Source organism: Homo sapiens, chromosome 1, assembly GCF_000001405.40.
Source record: "Homo sapiens chromosome 1, GRCh38.p14 Primary Assembly".
NCBI lineage: Eukaryota > Metazoa > Chordata > Mammalia > Primates > Hominidae > Homo > Homo sapiens.
Window position 1 is genome coordinate 19,624,222 of NC_000001.11, and position 18,624 is coordinate 19,642,845.

General features: G+C 47.0%; 2 protein-coding genes across 7 annotated transcripts in view, besides 2 other annotated features; both read left to right on the forward strand.

Moving 5' to 3' along the window:
- The window catches only part of MICOS10 (mitochondrial contact site and cristae organizing system subunit 10), a 32,842-nt gene extending 27,243 nt beyond the window's left edge, over positions 1–5,599 (forward strand). For 4 of the 5 annotated variants that reach the window (NR_033757.3, NR_033758.3, NM_001032363.4 and 1 more), the window contains one exon: positions 2,166–5,599. Coding sequence is in view for 3 of the 5 variants with exons in the window: in NM_001032363.4 (NP_001027535.1) it covers positions 2,166–2,180 (15 nt within the window). In the remaining 2 variants the exon portion in view is untranslated. Of the gene's footprint in view, positions 1–1,170; positions 1,412–2,165 lie in introns of all 5 variants that reach the window. The other variant, NM_001204083.2, reaches the window with a different exon arrangement.
- Positions 1–18,624, forward strand: part of MICOS10-NBL1 (MICOS10-NBL1 readthrough) — a 61,474-nt gene that overhangs the window by 27,243 nt on the left and 15,607 nt on the right. The gene's annotated exons all lie outside the window — the stretch shown is intronic.
- Positions 4,640–4,840: a silencer, noted in NCBI's record as "peak101 fragment used in MPRA reporter construct". NCBI's record gives its function as "represses an SCP1 promoter by STARR-seq MPRAs in K562 erythroleukemia cells {active_cell/tissue: K562}" and the evidence as "EXISTENCE:reporter gene assay evidence [ECO:0000049][PMID:32103011]".
- Positions 11,515–11,722: a silencer, noted in NCBI's record as "fragment chr1:19962230-19962437 (GRCh37/hg19 assembly coordinates)". NCBI's record gives its function as "represses an EF-1alpha promoter that drives an FKBP-Casp9 reporter gene in an ReSE screen in phorbol 12-myristate 13-acetate-treated (for megakaryocytic differentiation) K562 erythroleukemia cells {active_cell/tissue: K562(+PMA)}" and the evidence as "EXISTENCE:reporter gene assay evidence [ECO:0000049][PMID:32094911]".

Here is an 18,624-nt window from a genome sequence, read left to right on the forward strand (position 1 = left end):
AGTCTGGACTGTAAGTCTCACATTCTACTGAAGTCCTGTCTTCAGGTGGATTTTTATTTTTATTTTATTTTATTTATTTTGTGGGGATGGAGTATCACTCTGCCACCAAGGTGGGAGTGCAGTGGCACAATCTTGGCTCACTGCGACCTCTGCCTCCCGGGTTCAAGCGATTCTTCTGCCTCAGCCTCCCGAGTAGCTGGGATTACAGGCACGAGCCACTCACGCCCGGCTAATTTTCGTATTTTTAGTAGAGGTGGGGTTTCACCATGTTGGCCAGGCTGGTCTTGAACTCCTGACCTCAGGTGATCCACCCGTCTCGGCCTCCCAAAGTGCTGGGATTATAGGTGTGAGCCACTGTGCCTGGCCTTCAGGTGGATTTTTAATGCTGCACACAAGCTGGAAACTTCTTACCCACACCTCCAAAGGGAAGAGGGCAGCAGGCTTCCTCAGGGCTTCGTGTGTAGCAGTATTTTCCTTACTTGATGATTAGTTACTGTGGGGTTTAAGTGACAGGAACATTGGAGGCTGGGTGCCCAAGGACAGAGGTGGCACTTATTTTGTATTCCCAGGGCCTGAAACAAAATAGCACTCAAATAAATGTAAAATGAATGAATGAGGTAAATTATTCTATTAGAGGTAAGTGCCGATGGCCTCAGGCTTACTAAGGCATAACCTTTGTAGCAGCACAATTTTCAGTGAACAACTTCACATTCCCTGCATGCACAGAAGCCTCAGCTTTCCAGGTTACTCTTGGGCTAGAATCACTGTGAACGGGGCTGCAGTGGGGCTAGTGGAAAGGGCACAGAAGCCAGGAGACCTAGGTGCAAGCCTGTCACTTGCTTCCTGTGTGATCTTAAGTTGTTTCACTTCTGAGCTTCCATTTTCCTCCATAAAATGAGGGTAATAATTTCTACCTATAGTGTTGTTGTGAGATTTAGACACAAAATGTTTTTAAGCTGTGAAGTACGAAATATATAAAAACATTGGTTATTATAGATGAGGCCAGCCCAAAAAGGGTGATTGACTTGTCCATTGTTCCACTGTAACAACAAGTAGAGTGGAAAATGTGGTACAAATGCATGTCCTAATTCTAGTCAGGAGCTGTGGCCACAAGGGCCACCAAATCCAAAGTAGCAGTATCCTGCCACGGCCCTGCACCTGCCATTTTAGAACCTGCTGAAACCGTCAGCTGCCTGCAGCCAGCCCATGTCTGCTGGAGAGATGGGAGTAGGGGAGCCATCTCTGCACCAAAGCAAGAGTGAGGTCATCACAGGGACCATGCAAGAAGAGGCGCAGCTGTGTGGCACTGAAGCCGGCAGCCGGCCTTTTCCACCACTCCCTGGCTCCTCGCTTTCCTGGCATCAGAGCTGATTGTGGGGAGAACCGAAAGGAGCAGACAGAGAAGCTTCAGGTCTTTTGCTTAAAACATTTCCATTGTTCCAAACTGAGTTGTCAGGGATAATGGCTCAGGGGTGATTATATGCATATTATGTATTTAATGGCTGGGAGTTCCTGTGGAAAATATTGTTCCATTTTTTACATTTGTGTGTCCTGCTCCAAAATGGCCTTGTAACTTTATCTGGACTTGAGTCTGTGCCTCGATGTTGTCATCCTCCATTCCCTGAAAAATGGAGCAAAATCCCAACCTGGGCTTATTCAGTGTAGTCCTATTGTAATAACTGCCTCCTGAGTGCCCAATCTGCCCCCAGGACCATCCTGGGTGCTTTATCTTTAATAATCTTTCCCTCTAGACCTGCCAGTTGATTTGTGAGAGATGTTACTATCCTCATTCAGCTGATGAGAAAGCAGACTCTTACCGGGGTTGAGAAACTTGGCAAGGCCATGTAGTTCGTAGGCTGATGAGAACCATGCTCTCCCCACTCCCCTGGGACGCCTTCGACAGGTTTTAGGAATTGTTATCCAGGTCATGATGGTTTGGCCCTGTTCCACTCGTTTCCCACTCTTCTCCCTGGAAGATTGGGGCTGGATGGCACTCTTAGGAACCTAGGTAGGGTGTACATAGTCCTGTTGTGAGACAGTTTTAACGTAAACAGTGTGATAAGGTTTTGGCTTCTGGCCCTTTGGGTCTGACCTGATACAGCAATTAGAGAGGGTTGTCAGAATGCCGTCTGCACAGTTTTAAGCTGAATGTCCTTGCTTTACAGGAGCAGGAGCAGTGACTTCACCTGAGAACATCCCAGCGGGAGGACAAGAGAAATCATGTTTATTCCTCAGGAATACTGAAGTGCCCTGGAGTAAGCTGCCATTCTTCTGTAACAATGTTATCAGTAATGCTTTAAACTCCAGCACCTGGTTATGCATTTGAAACCAAGTCTGTTTCTTGTTTTGTATTTTCTCTCTGGAAGTTGTAAGGAGGTGGTCTTAAATAAATTAAACAAAAAGAGGAAGTCCATTGCATGGCCTTTGTTTCTTCACCTTTGGTCTCTGAGCATGAGGAGGACTGTGTGTGAACTGCCAGCAGCTGTAGCCACCTGCTCACAGCCTCTCTGAGAACCCCCTGAAACCAGTTGTTGGGTATCCTTCCCATTTGCCCCCTCAGGCGTAGTTTTCAGAACTGCTTCCACCTCGTAATCAGAAGTTGAAGATTGCTGCTGCGTGGCCTGATGGAGATGACTGATGTCTTAAGGCGCCTTTCCTTCTGTGGCACCTCTTCGTGTGTTCTCACCTGGGGACCTGGCAGGGCACATCTCCGCTGTGCCTACTGCAAGGCGGTCCCACTGCTGCTGTATTAGCAGGGGAAGAATCCTGGCTGTGTGGATGGCCCACTCCATTGAAGTCAAGTCCTGCAGCTTCATAGAGCTTGAGACAGTCCAAGCTTCAGCTCTGGAGGGCGGAGGAAAGCTCATGGCATACCCACCTGGCCGGAGGAGCCCGATTGGGGTTAATTTTATCTTCACGTAGCAGCTGAAGTTTGAGGACAAAAGGGCCACTTCTGATGCCCCTCTGAGTTTGTTCCTGTGGTTTCACTTGAACCAGGGATGCTAGATGCAAAAGTCATATTTTAGCAATTTCTTCAGACGATATACAGAACCCCAGCGCTCAGCCGTTCTTATTTCTTTTTCCTTATCGTAGAATTAAGATAGGGAGAGCCCGATCCCACTTGCCCCTGTATCCTGTAAATGTTGATTTATCATCTACTGTAAGCGAGGCACTGTTGTAAGCAGCAGAGATAAATGGATAAATAGACACAGGCTTCTGCCTTCAAGGAGCTTAGAGTCTGATGGAAAGACAGACGTGCAAACACAACTCTGAAAGAAGTGTTTTAATGGAGAAGAGAGGTGTAGGCAAAGTACACTGAGAACAAAGGAGAAGGAGCAACTATGTCTCCCTAGGATGGCCCCACAGGCGACGGAATGCCTGCGCTGGGACCCGAAGTTGACTGGGAATCCCAGACAGAAGGAGGGTAGCCTCTGTGTTTGCTCAGGATCATGTAATGCATATTATAGCTGGGAAATCGCAAGTAGTTCAGCATAGCCAGGGTGTGTAGGGGCAGGGGAAAGGCATGGAGGGGGAGGCTGGGCAATAGGGTACAACTCATGTCTGACTCCAGTTCTGGAACATTGATTAGACCTTAGTTCTTGCAAGTGCTATAGTGAGTACATTCAGGGTAGCAAATACCCTCCCTCAGCCTCCCCACTCCCTTTTCCAGAAAGGTCTGCTAGGCTCTGCCCTGCAAACTGTCCAGGCTCCTCTGCCCTCTGGGCTTGTTTTCCTCTTTATTGCTACTTGGCTGTTTTTCACTTGGTCCTCTTCATTCTATGATTAAGGCAACCCATATAATTGAAAGAAAAATAATGTGCAGCCTGTTTCATCCCTTCCACTTGTTTTCTTACTATTTATTTATTTATTTCTGAGATGGAATTTTGCTCTTGTTGCCCAGGCTGGAGTGCAATGGTGGCGATCTCGGCCTGCTGCAACCTCCGCTTCCTGGGTTCAAGCGCTTCTCCTGCCTCAGCCTCCCGAGTAGCTGGGATTACAGGCATGCGCCATCACACCTGGCTAATTTTGTATTTTTAGTAGAGACGGTGTTTCTCCTTGGTCATGCTGGTCTCCAACTCCCGACCTCAGGTGATCCTCCCGCCTCGGCCTCCCAAAGTGCTGGGATTACAGGCGTGAGCCACCGCACCCAGCCTCCTATTTGCTTTAAAAGTAATTTCCTGGCCGGATGCGGTGGCTCACACCTGTAATCCCAGCACTTTGGGAGGCCAAGGCAGGTGGATCATGAGGTCAAGAGATCAAGACCATCCTGGCCAACATTGTAAAACCCTGTCTCTACTAAAAATATAAAAATCAGCTGGGCATGGTGGCGCACACCTGTAGTCCCAGCTACTCAGGAGGTTGAGGCAGGAGAATCATTTGAACCCGGGAGGCAGAGGTTGCGGTGAGCTGAGATCGCGCCACTGCACTCCAGCCCGGCGACAGAGCGAGAATCTGTCTCAAAAAAAAAAAAAAAAAAAAAGCATTTTCCTTCCCCAATTTTTCTGTCATTTTCCCATCCTCATTCAGGCAGAGAGAAGAATAACATGCCCCCTTCCAAAAAAGACAAAACACAAGGTAGCCACAAATTCCCTAGACACATTAGAAAAATAGGGAGTGGAGAGGGGCATTGGAATGAAAGTTCTCTATCTCATTAGCTGTTAGGCTTTAGGCATTTATTTGGATGGATCCCTTTGGCACCTTGGAAGCACCACTGAAGTGCTCTGAGAAAGGGGTCAGCTGTCTGAGGGAATAGTTCTGGATAGAGGCCACAGGAAGCACTGGCCAGTTGCTTTAGTTCTAGATAGCTTTGTATTCCCGCCTTGTTGCCCTTAGCGGAGGCTGGCCCAAAGCACACTTGATCTTGTCCCCACTCCCTGCCCCCATCTCAGATCAACCTTCAGAAAGTCCCGGCTTGTTGGCAAAGGCACACATTCTGTGTTACTCTTAAGTTTCATTAGAAATTCAAGTCCTCTGGGGCCCTGTTCCCTTGTGGGCTTGTGCAACTGACTTTGTTTCTTGTCTGCCTTTCTGGAACCAAATCCAAGGAAATTCATGGGTTTGGGGAGACAGCGATGGGAACCCAGCAGGGCACAGGATGCTAGGATAAAGCTGTGGCGCCCCAAAAGTGGCCTGCTCTGCCAACATACATAAATACATACAGTCTGAGCTTGACACTGTATAATTTGGCCCAGAACAATATGTATTTTGAGCTCATTTAGGTGAATGACTTTGGCATTCCATGTACCCACTAGGGGAAGCTTTATCAGGCTGCATTTGCCTTATGCAGAAGTATGCCTTTGTTCTGAGAAATGGCCTCAGAACACACTGTTGAGCTGTCTCCTTTAGTGAGTGTCATCCTCTCATCCATTTCAAAAGATTGCAGATGCCGTCTTGAAGTCCTGCTTGTAAGAAATGCAGGGGTTGGGAATGGAGGAGATGACGATGTAGTTTTGCTTTTAGTTTTCCCAAACCTGTTTACATTTTTTAAAAATGTAACCAACCCATAATTGCATTTTACTTGTCGTGGTTCGATCTGATTGTATTGTCGAAGGACTATTTTTGAACCTGTCCAAATAAACTCTGCAAAGTATTTCCACAAGGATGTGACTCCATGGCGCTTGGACAGCCTTTATCCTGAATGGTACTGAGACACAAATGTTTTCCTGTTGCGTGCTTTCTAATTACCTAAATGCAAACGGGGTGGAAGGGAGAAAGTGGAAATTCTAAGTACCAAAAGGAATGTTAAATTTAGAATAATAAGCTCATCTGGAAGCTATCACCACTTTTTTCTTAAAGTGCGCTGCAAGCATCGCTTCCCCTTGGACACCAAATCATGGTATTGGGGTAAAGACAGACTTGGGCAGGAGCAGGGGAGAAGCCCCATGTCTAATGAGCGGCCTCTGTGTGGATCAAGAGTGACAACTGTTCTGCTGTCAAGTGCCCTGACAAAGAAGAACCAAGGGAGAGGCAGGGCTGTAAATGATTTGGAGTCAGGGGACTGGATCTAAGTTCCCACTCTACCACTTATTTGCCAGGTGACCACGGGGAGTTGCCTTAACCTAAGGGGTTGTTGCAGGCTGGGCACAGTGGATCACACCTGTAACCCCAGCACTTTGGGAGGCTGAGGCAGGTGGATTGCTTGAGCCCAGGAGTTCCAGACCAGCCTGGGCAACATAGCAGGACCCCATCTCTACAAAAAACACAAAAATTAGCCAGGGATGGTGGCATGCACCTGTTGTCCCAGCTACTTGGGAGGCTGAGGAGGGAAGATCACTTGAGCTCAGGAGGTTGAGGCTGCAGTGAGCCATGATCATGACACTACACTTCAGCCTGGGTGACAGAGTGAGACCCTGTCTTAAAAAAAATTAAAAACCACACACACACACACACACACACACACACACACACTTATTTACGGAGCACATGGTCTTTGAGCTAGGCTAGGAGGGGAGAAGGGGAAAAGACACTGAAGAAAGAGAACTCTAGGAGCTTCCGCCCAGGTAGGAACATAGAACTATTACTGGGCATTTGCATTCAGGATAATTGGCTTCAATTGTTTGACCCTCACTTAAGGAGTTCAGAGCCAGAAAGTGGAGGTGGAGGAAGATGTCAAGAATTCTTGAAGGAGGAGTGGGCAGGTGATGAATCTTTACGGGGAAGAAACTGGGGCTAGAAAAAAAGAGCTCATTATCAACTGTCAATCAAGTCATCTTTATTCCCGGTCCATCCAGTTTGAGCTAGGCAGAACATATATCACGAGGCTTACTTTTTACAAGCTTATGATAAAAGTACTATTATCCTCATTTTATGGATGAAGAAACAGTTTTTGGAAGGGCAAATTAACTTGCCCAAGGACAAGTAGGTGAAAACAATGCAGGTGGAATCTGAACCTGATTCCGGAGGCCAGACTCTTACCTACTTTCTATGCTGGTCGAAAGCTGTTTAAAGTGGGGAGGGTCATTTCAAAGGAAAGCAGTTTGATCCAGTTTAAACCTGATTTGAGATACTTAAACTAGTTGAAATGGATCAGAGCCAGTTTCACTGAGTTTAAATTAGTAAGAATAAGTTGATCCAATTTGAAGTCAGCTGTATTTGTTTAAAAAAGTAATTCCTATGTCTATTTTCTATTAATCAGAAACATAATTATCAATCAGAGCTTTGGGTCAGCGTTGCTGATAAGTTTGGCTAAGTCCTTGCAAATGTAATAAAGCATCATGACATTTTATTGCAGTAGGCATCTTAAAATCTATACACTTTTCAATTAGATAATTAGATTTCTTTTTCTTTTTGTCTTTTTTTTTTTTTTTTGAGACAGGGTCTTACTCTGTTGCCCATGTTAGAGTGCAGTGGTGTACAATTTTGGCTCACTGCAGCCTTGATATCCAGGACTCAGGTGTTTCTCCCACCTCAGCCTCCTGAGTAGCTGGGACTACAGCTGCATGCCACCATGCCTGGCTAATTTTTGTATTTTTTGTAGAGATGGGGTTTCACTATGTTGCCCAGGCTGGTCTTGAACTCCTGGGCTCAAGCAATCCACCTGCCTCAGCCTCCCAAAGTGCTGGGATTACAGGCATGAACAACTGCATCTGGTCCTAAATTTATTATTTCTTATTATGTGGCATAATAATTTCTTATTACGTGGAACTTTCCCTTCTCCCTCATTTATTTAGTCATTTATCTATATCAGTATGGACTCATGGATTCTCATTTTATTCAACTGATTACAATCCATTATTATTAATATTTAACTCAAATTGTCTAGATTTGTCCAGTAGGGTCTCTTTCAAATGGTATCTGTATCCCTTTGACATATCCATTCCATTCTTTGAACACGAGCTATTGCAGACTCTTCTTGTATTTGCCCCACCCAGCCCTGGAATCAGCAATTTCTCCAAGGAGCCCTGGTTCCATTGAGTGGGGAGTGGTAGTTAGAAACCAAGCTCTCTAGGTGTGCTTGCTGCTGTTGGTGTGCCATTGCTTAGACACACCAAAAGCTTTGTCCACCTCTTAGCCAACATACTAGAAAATACGTGTGTGTGTGTGTGTGTGTGTGTGTGTGTGTATGTGACCTTGAGTTCATGCCTTCCTTCCATCCATATTTGTAACTCCCTTATCTAATAGTGAGAAATGTGGCTCTAGGGATTTGATTTTGAAGGAGCAGTATCTATAAATTAGGTCTACTTGGCTTCTGTGTGTGTGTATATGAGTATAAATGTGCTGTGATTCCCTCTCCAGTCTCTCCGTCTTTGTCTATCTGCACATGTATATGTCTTCCAGATTCCATCACTCTTTGCCCTCTAGTTTTTCTGCTGTCTGTATCTCTGATTGTGATCAAGACCTAGAGTACTTTTTTTTGTTTGTTTGTTTGCCTGGTGTTTTTTATTATTTTTTATTATTATTATACTTTAAGTTTTAGGGTACATGTGCACAATGTGCAGGTTAGTTACATATGTATACATGTGCCATGCTGGTGCGCTGCACCCACTAACTTTTTTTTTTTTTTTTTTTGAGACAGAGTCTCGCCACGTCACTTAGGCTGGAGGGCAGTGGCGTGATCCCAGCTCACTGCAAACTCCGCCTCTCGGGTTCAAGCGATTCCCCTGCCTCAGCCTCCCAAGTAGCTGGAATTACAGGCGCCTGCCACCACACCTGGCTAATTTTTGTATTTTTAGTAGAAACGGGGTTTTGCCATGTTGGCCAGGCTGATCTTGAACTCCCAGCCTCAGGTAATCCACCCGCCTCGGCCTCCTGAAGTGCTGGGATTACAGGCATGAGCCACCTCACCCAGCCTAGAGTACATTTTTATTATAATAGTTATGGAATAGTTTTATTCTTACTATTTTTCAGTTAGGTAGTTGAGTTTAATGTTTTCTATATTTTTATTTTTTATTAGTTATTATAAGTAATGTTTGCTATATTTTTAAAGCCCTTAAATTAACTTGCTTTTTAAGTGGGTGCCTCTGACTGACTGATCCTTCCATGGGTCAGTGACTTTCAATCAGAAGAAAGGCTTCCCCAAATTCTTACTATAGAGCATCCACTGTTCTCATCGGAGCATCCCTGGGTCACTGTGTAATCATGAGAAAGTCACTTGATCTCTCTGGGCCTCATTGTAAGATGGTTTTAATGATCCTTTTCCCTTCCTGCCACATGGTCCAGATGTGAGGTCAGGCACACTGTTATTGAGGAGAGAAGGAAAACCAGCTAAAGAGTTCATTTTTTAACATAATCAATTATATAATAAATTATGATGGAAAGAATCATCTCCCGTCTACATGGGAGTATATCCATTATAATACCACATGATAGACTCTTCATACCACAGAAATTAAAGACTCGCCACTGTTCCAGACATGACTTCCTCTTCTCCCCATGGAAGCAGACTTCATGGATAAAACCCAAATCCTACTCGGTTTATAGGAGAAGTCTTCCTGTCAAGGAATAGAAAGATGATTATAGATCTTCTCTTCATCAATTTGGATACCTCTCTTGAAGATTAGGAGATAAAGTCACAGAAGATAACACTAGAATTTGTCAGTCAGGAGCCACATCTATTAGGGTTTCCTGAATCCTCTCCCTGGGTCCCCAAAACCAACCATAAAACTTCTTTCTGGTCTGGACCTGTTATCTGTAAAGCCTCAGTTTGATTGAGGATGGGGAACCTTGGGGAATTTCTTTGACCTTGCCAGAATCTCTGCAAGTCTTCCAAATGGACTCCCGGCTTTCCATCTCTCCCTCTCCAACCAGTCTTAACAATATTTTATGCATGTTGTTTTCTGCTCAGAAATCTTCAGTAGCTCCCCAATAAGCACATAATATAGGTCCCAATTTCTTAGCCTAGCCTTCAAAGCCGCTTAACTCCTATCTCCACCCATCCCATGTGGAGCAGGATAGGGGCTAAGAGCAGGGGGCTCTGGAATAGATCTGCAGGGTTTGAATTCCAATTCTTCCACTTATTATCTGTGGGGCCTTGGAAGTTGTTTACTCTGTCCATGCCTCAGTTTCCTCATCCACAAATGGGAACAATGTTAATAATACCTACCTCAAAAGGTTATTACCTACATGATAATTAATTAATATATAAAAAGGCCCCTTCATCAGTACTTGACATATAGTAATGTTAGACCATTGCTCCCCGATACTCCCTTTTTAATCTAGTCTCCACACGGCAGCCAGTGTTAAACATAAATTGGATTATATAATTTCTCTGCTCAGAATTCCCCAATGGCTTCTCATCCCATTTGGAGAAAAAGTCAAAGTCGATACAGTGGACTGTAGGACTCTACAAGACCTGGCCTTCTTGGTACGTCTCTGACCTCGTCTCCCACCCACCCCTCCCTTGCTCCTCCGCTCCCGTCCTCCTGTCATTGCTGTTCCTGCACACACGGGCCCATTCCCACCCCCGGGCCTCCTTTGTACTTGCTTTTCTTTCTTTATTTCTTTCTTTTCTTTTCTTTTCTTTTTATTTTGAGACAGAGTCTCACTCTGTCACCAGGCTGGAGTGCAGTGGTTAAATCTCGACTCACTGTAACCTCCAACTCCCTGGTTCAAACAATTCTCTTGCCTCAGCCTCCTGAGTAGCTGGGACTACAGGCGCCTGCCACCATGCCTGGCTAATTTTTTGTATTTTTAGTAGAGATGGGGTTTCACTGTGTTAGCCAGGATGGTCTCTATCTCCTGACTTCGTGATCTGCCTGCCTTGGCCTCCCAAAGTGCTAGGATTACAGGCGTGAGCCACTGTGCCCGGCCAACTCTATTTCAATCAAACTACTTATTGATTTATGAAACATCCCTTTCCTAGGGGTGACAAATGCATTCAAACAAGGAAGTTCCTTTTTTTTTTTTTTTTTGCTTTTGAGACAGAGTCTCACTCTGTTGGCCAGGCTAGAGTGCAGTGGTACCATCTCGGCCCACTGCAACTTCCATCTCCCGGGCTCAAGCAATTCTCCTGCCTCAGCCTCCCAAGTAGCTGGTATTATAGGCATGTGCCACCACGCCCGGCTAATTTTCGTATTTTTAGTAGAGACAGGGTTTCACCATATTGGCCAGGCTGGTCTCAAACTCCTGACCTCAGGTGATCTGCCCGCTTCGGCCTCCCAGAGTGCTGGGATTACAGGCATGAGCCACCATACCTGTGGAAGTTCCATTTCTTAGCGTGGGCTGCTTTCTTGACGTGCCAAGTCTTGCTCATATCTCAAGCCCCTGCTCACATAACACCTCCTCCAGCAAGCTTTTTCTTTTCTTTTCTTTTCTTTTTTTGAGACAGAGTCTTGCTCTGTCACCCAGGCTGGAGTGCAGTGGTACAATTTTGGCTCACTGCAACCTCCCTGTCCCTGGTTCAAGTGATTCTCCTGCCTCAGCCTCTCAAGTAGCTGAGACTACAGGCATGCACCACCACGCCCGGTTAATTTTTATTTATTTATTTATTATTATTATTATTATTATTATTATTTGTATTTTTGTATTTTTAGTAGAATTGGCCAGGCTGGTCTTGAACTCCTGACTTCAAGTGATCTGCCCGCCTTGGACTCCCAAAGTGCTGGGATTACAGATGTGAGCCACCGTGCCCGGCCCAGCAAGCCTTCTCTAGCCATGCCAGCCCCCTGGGAGTTCTTCCTTCTCTGAGCCCGCATGGCCCTCATGCCTGGGCACCCTCCTTGGCAATAAGCCTTCCCTTTGCTGAGTCATATGCTGGTCCTTTTCCCTTAAAGGGCAGCTCATATGCCTTATCCTATCTGTAATAGCTTGCACTGTGCTGGACACTTAGCAAGTAGTCTAAAAATCACTGTTGCTTTAGTCAAAATGTTTTAGGAGGCAAGTAACACACTCCTTCAAGTCAGCTTGAGATGGTGAGATCCTGGAGAAGCTCATAGAATCCAAGGTAAAGCAGAACATTGAGGATACACTGGCAAGAACCAAGCCCTTGTCAGCTCCTTCAGCAGCCAGAGTTCTCGAAAATTCTGCCTTTATGGGTTGCAGTCCTCCCACATGGGCGCTATGCCCCTTAGTTCAGAAAGACAGTTTGATAGGCTCAGCCTGGGTCAGGCGTCCTCTCTGTTCCAATCCCCTTTGTCCAGGAGGGCAGGTTCTTGGAGAACAAGCATGGCTGCTGGATGCCCTGTGTGTATCTGTGTGTATCTGTGCATGTGGTTGGAGACTGGCTCTCTAGTAGAACGGCTGGGCAGATACAGAGATTCTTTTGTGCCTTCTTTTTCTCCAACTCCCATGTTCCTAAAAACGTGATTTTTTTCAACGAATGTATCTGGAGCACAAAAATCTCAAGAAAAATATTGCTATAGAAGAGGATAAACCTATCAATTCTGCTACTGAATAGAAAAACCTATTACAATTTTCATATCTGTGCCATATTAAATATTCACAGAAGGGCCCACTCTTGGCCAGGCGCAGTGGCTCATGCCTGTAATTCCAGCACTTTGGGAGGCCTAGGCGGGAGGATCACCTAAGGTCAGGAGTTCCAGACCAGCCTGGCCAACATGGTGAAACCCCGTCTCTACTAAAAATACAAAAATTAGCCAGGCATGGTGGCGAGTGCCTGTAATCTCAGTTACTCAGGAGGCTGAGGCATGAGAATGGCTTGAACCCGGGAGGCGGAGGTTGCAGTGAGCTGAGATCGCACCACTGCATTCCAGCCTAGGTGAAAGAGTGCAACTCTGTCAAAAACAAAAAGCTGGGGAGGGCTGCTCTTGAAGAGGGAGAAAAATTCTTCTCCCACTCACTGTGGATATGTGTGGGCCACGGGGAGCTGAGAAATGGAAGGAACAATATAGGGGAAAAAAAAACCTGGAACCATGACATTGTAATATAATTGATTTGCCAAGGCCGGGCACGGTGGCTCACGCCTGTGATCCCAGCACTTTGGGAGGCCGAGGTGGGTGGATCATGAGGTCAGGAGTTCGAGACCAGCCTGGCCAACATGGTGAAACCCTGTCTCTACTAAAAATACAAAAATTAGCCGGGTGTGGTGGCGCGCACCTGTAATTCCAGCTACTCAGGAGGCTGAGGCAGGAGAATCGCTTGAACCTGGAAGGCGGAGGTTGCAGCAAGCTGAGATCACATCATTGCTCTCCAGCCTGGGCAACAAGAGCAAAACTCCATCTTAAAAAAAAAAAAAAAAAAAAAAAAAAAAGGCCGGGCGTGGTGGTTTATGCCTGTAATCCCAGCACTTCGGGAGGCCGAGGCGGGTGGATCATGAGGTCAGGAGATCGAGACCATCCTGGCTAACAAGGTGAAACCCTGTCTCTACTAAAAATACAAAAAATTAGCCGGGCGCGGTGGCGGGCGCCTGTAGTCCCAGCTACTCGGGAGGCTGAGGCAGGAGAATGGTGTGAACCCGGGAGGTAGAGCTTGCAGTGAGCCGAGATCGCGCCACTGCACTCCACCCTGGGCAACAGAGCGAGACTCCGTCTCAAGAAAAAAAAGAAAAAGAAAAAGAATTGATTTGCCTAACCTCTAGCCCTATGTATCAATTAAGAAGAGAACCCAGGGCTGCCCATCACCATGGCAGCCTTGTTCACCATATTTACCATGGGGGCCAGGGTGCTGGCAACAGCTTTGTGGAGGACCTGCAGGCGCCAGGCCCTTTCCTGAGAGCCCCGTCCCGGTGCTGTCACACGGAGGCTGTGTCTGTTACCGTGGGGTCAGACAACCACAGCTGAAGGAAACAGTGAATTCAGCTCGGCAGCATGTGGGGCGTCACAGGAAAGAAGAAAACAAGTGAGGAGTGAAGTGCCTTGATTTCCCTTCTTGATTCTTGGTGTCTCACCCTACCTACAAATAGTATTTTATTATTTTATTTTATTTTGTTTGTTTATTTATTTATTTATTGAGATAGGTTCTTTCTCTGTCACCCAGGCTGGAGTGCAGTGGTAAAATCATAGCTCACTGCAGCCTCTAACTCCTGGGCTCAAGAGATCCTCCAACCTCAGCCTCCCACGTAGCTGGGACTACAGGCACATGCCGCCACACCTGGCTAATTTTTAGTTTTTTTCTTTTTTTTCTTAGAGACAGGGTCTTGCTATGTTGTCCAGGCTGGTCTCGAACTCTTGGATTCAAGTGATCCTCCTGCCTCGACCTCCCAAAGTGCTGGGATTATAGGCATGAGCCACTGTATCTGACCCTACAAAGAACATTTGACATTTTTCCATGGGGCCAAGGACCCATGGAGTCCTTGGGGCCTCATTCCTGCTCTCCCGTCCAGGCCAAGACCCTCTGCAATCCTTGACAGCACAGGCTCCGTACTGTGGAACTCACAGTGCATGGCCACCTTCTCCTTCTGAGTCTTCTGAGTCCAAAATGGGGCCCAAGGTTTCCTGAGCCCACCAGCAGGGAGGAAGAGGCTAGAGGACACAGCCCAGGTGGATGGGCTCAAAGTCAGAACACCTGTTTCTGGTCCTGGATGTTCTGCTGACTTGCTGAGTGGATCTGGGCAAATCCTTTTTTCCTCTATGAAAAAGGATAATATAGCTGAGCTCAGTGGCTCATGACTATAATCCCAGCACTTTGGGTGGCCGAGGTGGGCAGATTGCCTGAGGTCAGGAGTTTGAGACCAGCCTGGCCAACATGGTAAAACCCCATCTCTACTAAAAATACAAAAATTAGCCGAGCGTAGTGGCACATGCCTGTAGTCCCAGCTATTCAGGAGGCTGAGGTGGGAGGATCTCATGAGCCTGGGAGGTGGAGGTTGCAGTGGGCGGAGATCGCGCCACTGCACTCCAACCTGGGTGACAGAGCGAGAGTCCACCTCAGACAAACAAACAACCCACCATAGTAACTACCACTTCCTGAGAGCCAAGCGTGTGCCGGCTCTGTGCCTCACATTCACGTCTCTCAGTGAATTCTGGGTGATCCTGGGGATGGGTCCTATTACAATTCCTGTTTTCCAGATGAGGAAACTGAGGCTCAAGAGATGCATTACTGGAGTAAGGTGAGAAAGCTTTGTGCTGAATCCTGGATTTGATCCAGGGCATCTGACTCCAGCACCTTTCCTGAGCTATATATATGAAACCTCCCTGAAATAGCTTTCATTTTATGGAGCACGTGCTATTTTCCAGGAACTGTGCCGAGAGCTTTGCATCCATTTATCTCCTTGAATCCTTGCTCCATCTCATTATAATCTCACCTTAAGTGTCACCTCTTTGCGACGTTTTCTGAGGCTTCTCAGTGAGTTCATACCTCCCCCATCACATCGCCCCCTCTGGCTTAGTTCGTTCATAATACTTTTTCTCCTTTTTTTCTTTTTTTTTTTCTGGAGACAGAGTCTCGCTCTGTCACCCAGGCTGGAGTGCAATGGTGCGATCTCAGCTCGCTGCAACCTCTGCCTCCCAGGTAGCTGGGATTACAGGCACGCACCACCACACCCAGCTAATTTTGTATTTTTGGTAGAGATGGGGTTTCACCGTGTTGGCCAGGCTGGTCTTGAACTCCTGACCTCAGGTGATCCACCTGCCTCAGCCTCCCAAAGTGCTGAGATTACAGGCATGAGCCACCACGCCTGGCCTCTCCTTTTTTTCTTTTAAATAAATATTATTATGATGATTATTTTTCGAGACAGAATCTCACTCCATCACCCAGGCTGGAGTGCTCTGGCATGATCTCGGTTCACTGCAACCTCCGCCTCCCAGGTTCAAGCAATTATCCTGCCTTAGCCTCCCAAATAGCTGGGATTACAGGCACGTACCACCACACCGGGCTAATTTTTGTCTTTTTATTAGAGACGGGGTTTCACCATGTTGGCCAGGCTGGTCTTGAACTCCTGACCTCAAATGATCCACCCAACTCGGCCTCCTAAAGTGCTGGGATTGCAGGCGTGAGCCATCACGCCTGGCTCTTTTAAATAAATATTAAACAACTGAACCTGGAACCTTCAGAACACATTGGTTATGTGAGATCCACTCATCTGTTTATCTGTTGCACAATCTGCCTGGGTGTGGCAGAACATAAGCTCCTTGGAGGCTGGGACCTTATTGGTCTAGTCTGTTGTTGTGTCCTCAACACCTCTGTGCATGTCTGGCACATAACAGGCACAATAAGTATTTGTTGGATAAATGAATGACTCCAGACAACAAATCTATGGAGTACATAGCACTACTAACTGCATTTTACAGATAAGGAAACCAAGGCCCAGGTGTGAAACAACTAGCACAGAGTCAGAGGGCGATGCAGGAACAATGTAAACCCTGAGCCTCCCCTGATGAGTCCGAATGGCTCCTCCCAGCTCCATACCTGGAGGTGTGAACGCTCTCATCTTTATCATAAAAAGAGAGGGACTGTGTACCAACCCTCTGTTCAGTGGGCTGGACTGGGAAGACAGGCCTTTTGCTTGTTTTCATTCTATTTCTCCAGCGAGAGTGCAGAGGTTTGGACCCCCGTTGAGGCCAGACTGACAGGATTAGAGGAAACAGCTGGGCTGAGTCCGTGCCCTGCAGGAGGGAGCTCACATTCCCGGACTCTGGGAGAGAGCAGCTCCCCACAGCTCAGTCACATTCCAGGTCGGTCATTTTCCTGAGCCCAGATGTTTGCTAATGAGCTGGGGAGAGGGGCTTTTAGCCCTGAGCCCCAGCTCTGGGCCCCACATTACCTCGGCCCCAAGAGGCTGGCCCAGGGCCAGGAGGCTCTGGCCTCAGGCCCATGCCCTGTGCCAGCCAGGCCTGTAGGGGCAGCTGGAACACCACTGCCAACCAGGTGCATCTGCTCGAGCTGGGACACTCTGACGTGACAGGTTCTGCCTTTCCCGCTGGGGCCCCTGGGGTCCATCTTCAGTGCAGCATCCCTGCTGCAGCCTGATGGGGAGGAGCACTGAGGCAGCCGAGAGGGTGGAGAGGGTGTGGTGGGCAAGGAAGCATGGACTTTGGTGTTGACAGGTCTGGGCTCAAGTCCAGGCTTTGTTAATCACTAGCAATGTGGTCTTGAGCAGGTAATGACACATTTTGGTGCCTCGATTTTTCTTACCTGTAAAATGGGAACAATGATGGGACTGTGGTAAGGATTAGAGGAGATGAAGCAGACAGAGTGACCAGCATAATGCCTGGCACAAAATGGGTAGATATTACTACCAAGTTACTTCCCAGGCCCCCTGCCCACACTGTAGCTTTCCCGTCACCAGACAGATGGTGACTCAACTCCAAACCCTTTGTCCCTGATTAGGGGGTTGGTGTTGTTCTTGAACCTCCCGGTGTTTGAGAGATGGTGGGCTGCCCTGTCAAGGGCACTGGCTGGAAGTTGTGGCTTCTACTCCTGGCTCTATGTGTGATCTGACCAGCTCATCAGGCTCCACAATTAGCTTTCTGCAATGTGGGAGTGGATTCTTACAAAATGTAGAACTCTACTTTCTACCCTGCTCGGGGTCTGCATGAAAGATGGCGGGGGTAAGCTTTGGCTGCAAAATGGTAAATATTTCCTGAGTGTCTACTGTGTACAGTGCAGTGAGGCTGGTTTCTGCCGTACATGGTATATAGTTATCCAACAGACACTAGCTGGCATGGGCTCTTACTGTGTGACTTTAGGCGAGTTACTTAACCTTTCTCTTGACGTTCCTTTTTTCACTTTTTTTTTTTTTTTTTGAGACAAGGCCTTGCTGGAGTGACAAGCTCATTAGGTTCCACAATTAGCCTTCTGCAATGTTGTCCAGGCTGGAGTACAGTGGCACAATCATAGCTCACTGCAGCCTCAAACTCCTGGGATCAAGTGATCCTCCAGCCTCGGGATTTTTTTCACTTTTATTATTTTATTTGTTTGTTTGTTTATTTATTTATTTATTTGAGATGGAGTCTCACTCTGCCTCCCAGGCTGGAGTGCAGTGGTGCGATCTCGGCTCACTGCAACCTCCGCCTCTCAGGTTCAAGTGATTCTCCTGCCTCAGCCTCCCGAGTAGCTGGGACTACAGGCACACGCCACCACACCTGGCTGATTTTTGTATTTTTAGTAGAGAGAGGGTTTCGCCATATTGGCCAGGCTGGTCTCGAACTCCTGACCTCAAGTGATCCTCCTGCCTTGGCCTCCCAAAGTGCTGGGATTACAAGCATGAGCCACTGCGCCTGGCACTTTTAAAACAGAGACAATACTTACCTCATAGGTTTATTGTGAGAGTGGCAACAGCTTGCAATGGGATGAGGCACATGGTAAGGTGCTCAATATGTGTGAACTATTATAACGGTCATAGTTACCATTAAGGGAAGACCTATCTGTGCTACATTAATGGGGGATAATAATTACTTTATTCGCTGGGCGTGGTGGTTCATGCCTATAATCCCAACACTTTGGGAGGCTGAGGCGGGAGGATCACTTGAGGCCAGGAGTTGGAGACCAGCCTGGGCAACATGGCAAAACCCCATCTCTACTAAAAATACAAAAACTAGCTGGGCGTGGTGGTGGGCGTCTGTAATCCCAGCTACTCGGGAGGCTGAGAATTGCTGGAACCTGGGAGGCAGAGGTTGCAGTGAGCCGAGATCACGCCATTGCATTTCAGCCAGGGCAACAAGAGCAAAATTCTGTCTCTAATAATAATAATAATAACAACAACAACAACAACAACAACAACTTCATTCAACCAAATACATTGTACATCTCACCTGGCCTGCCCATAAGCAATGGAGACACTGAAATAAA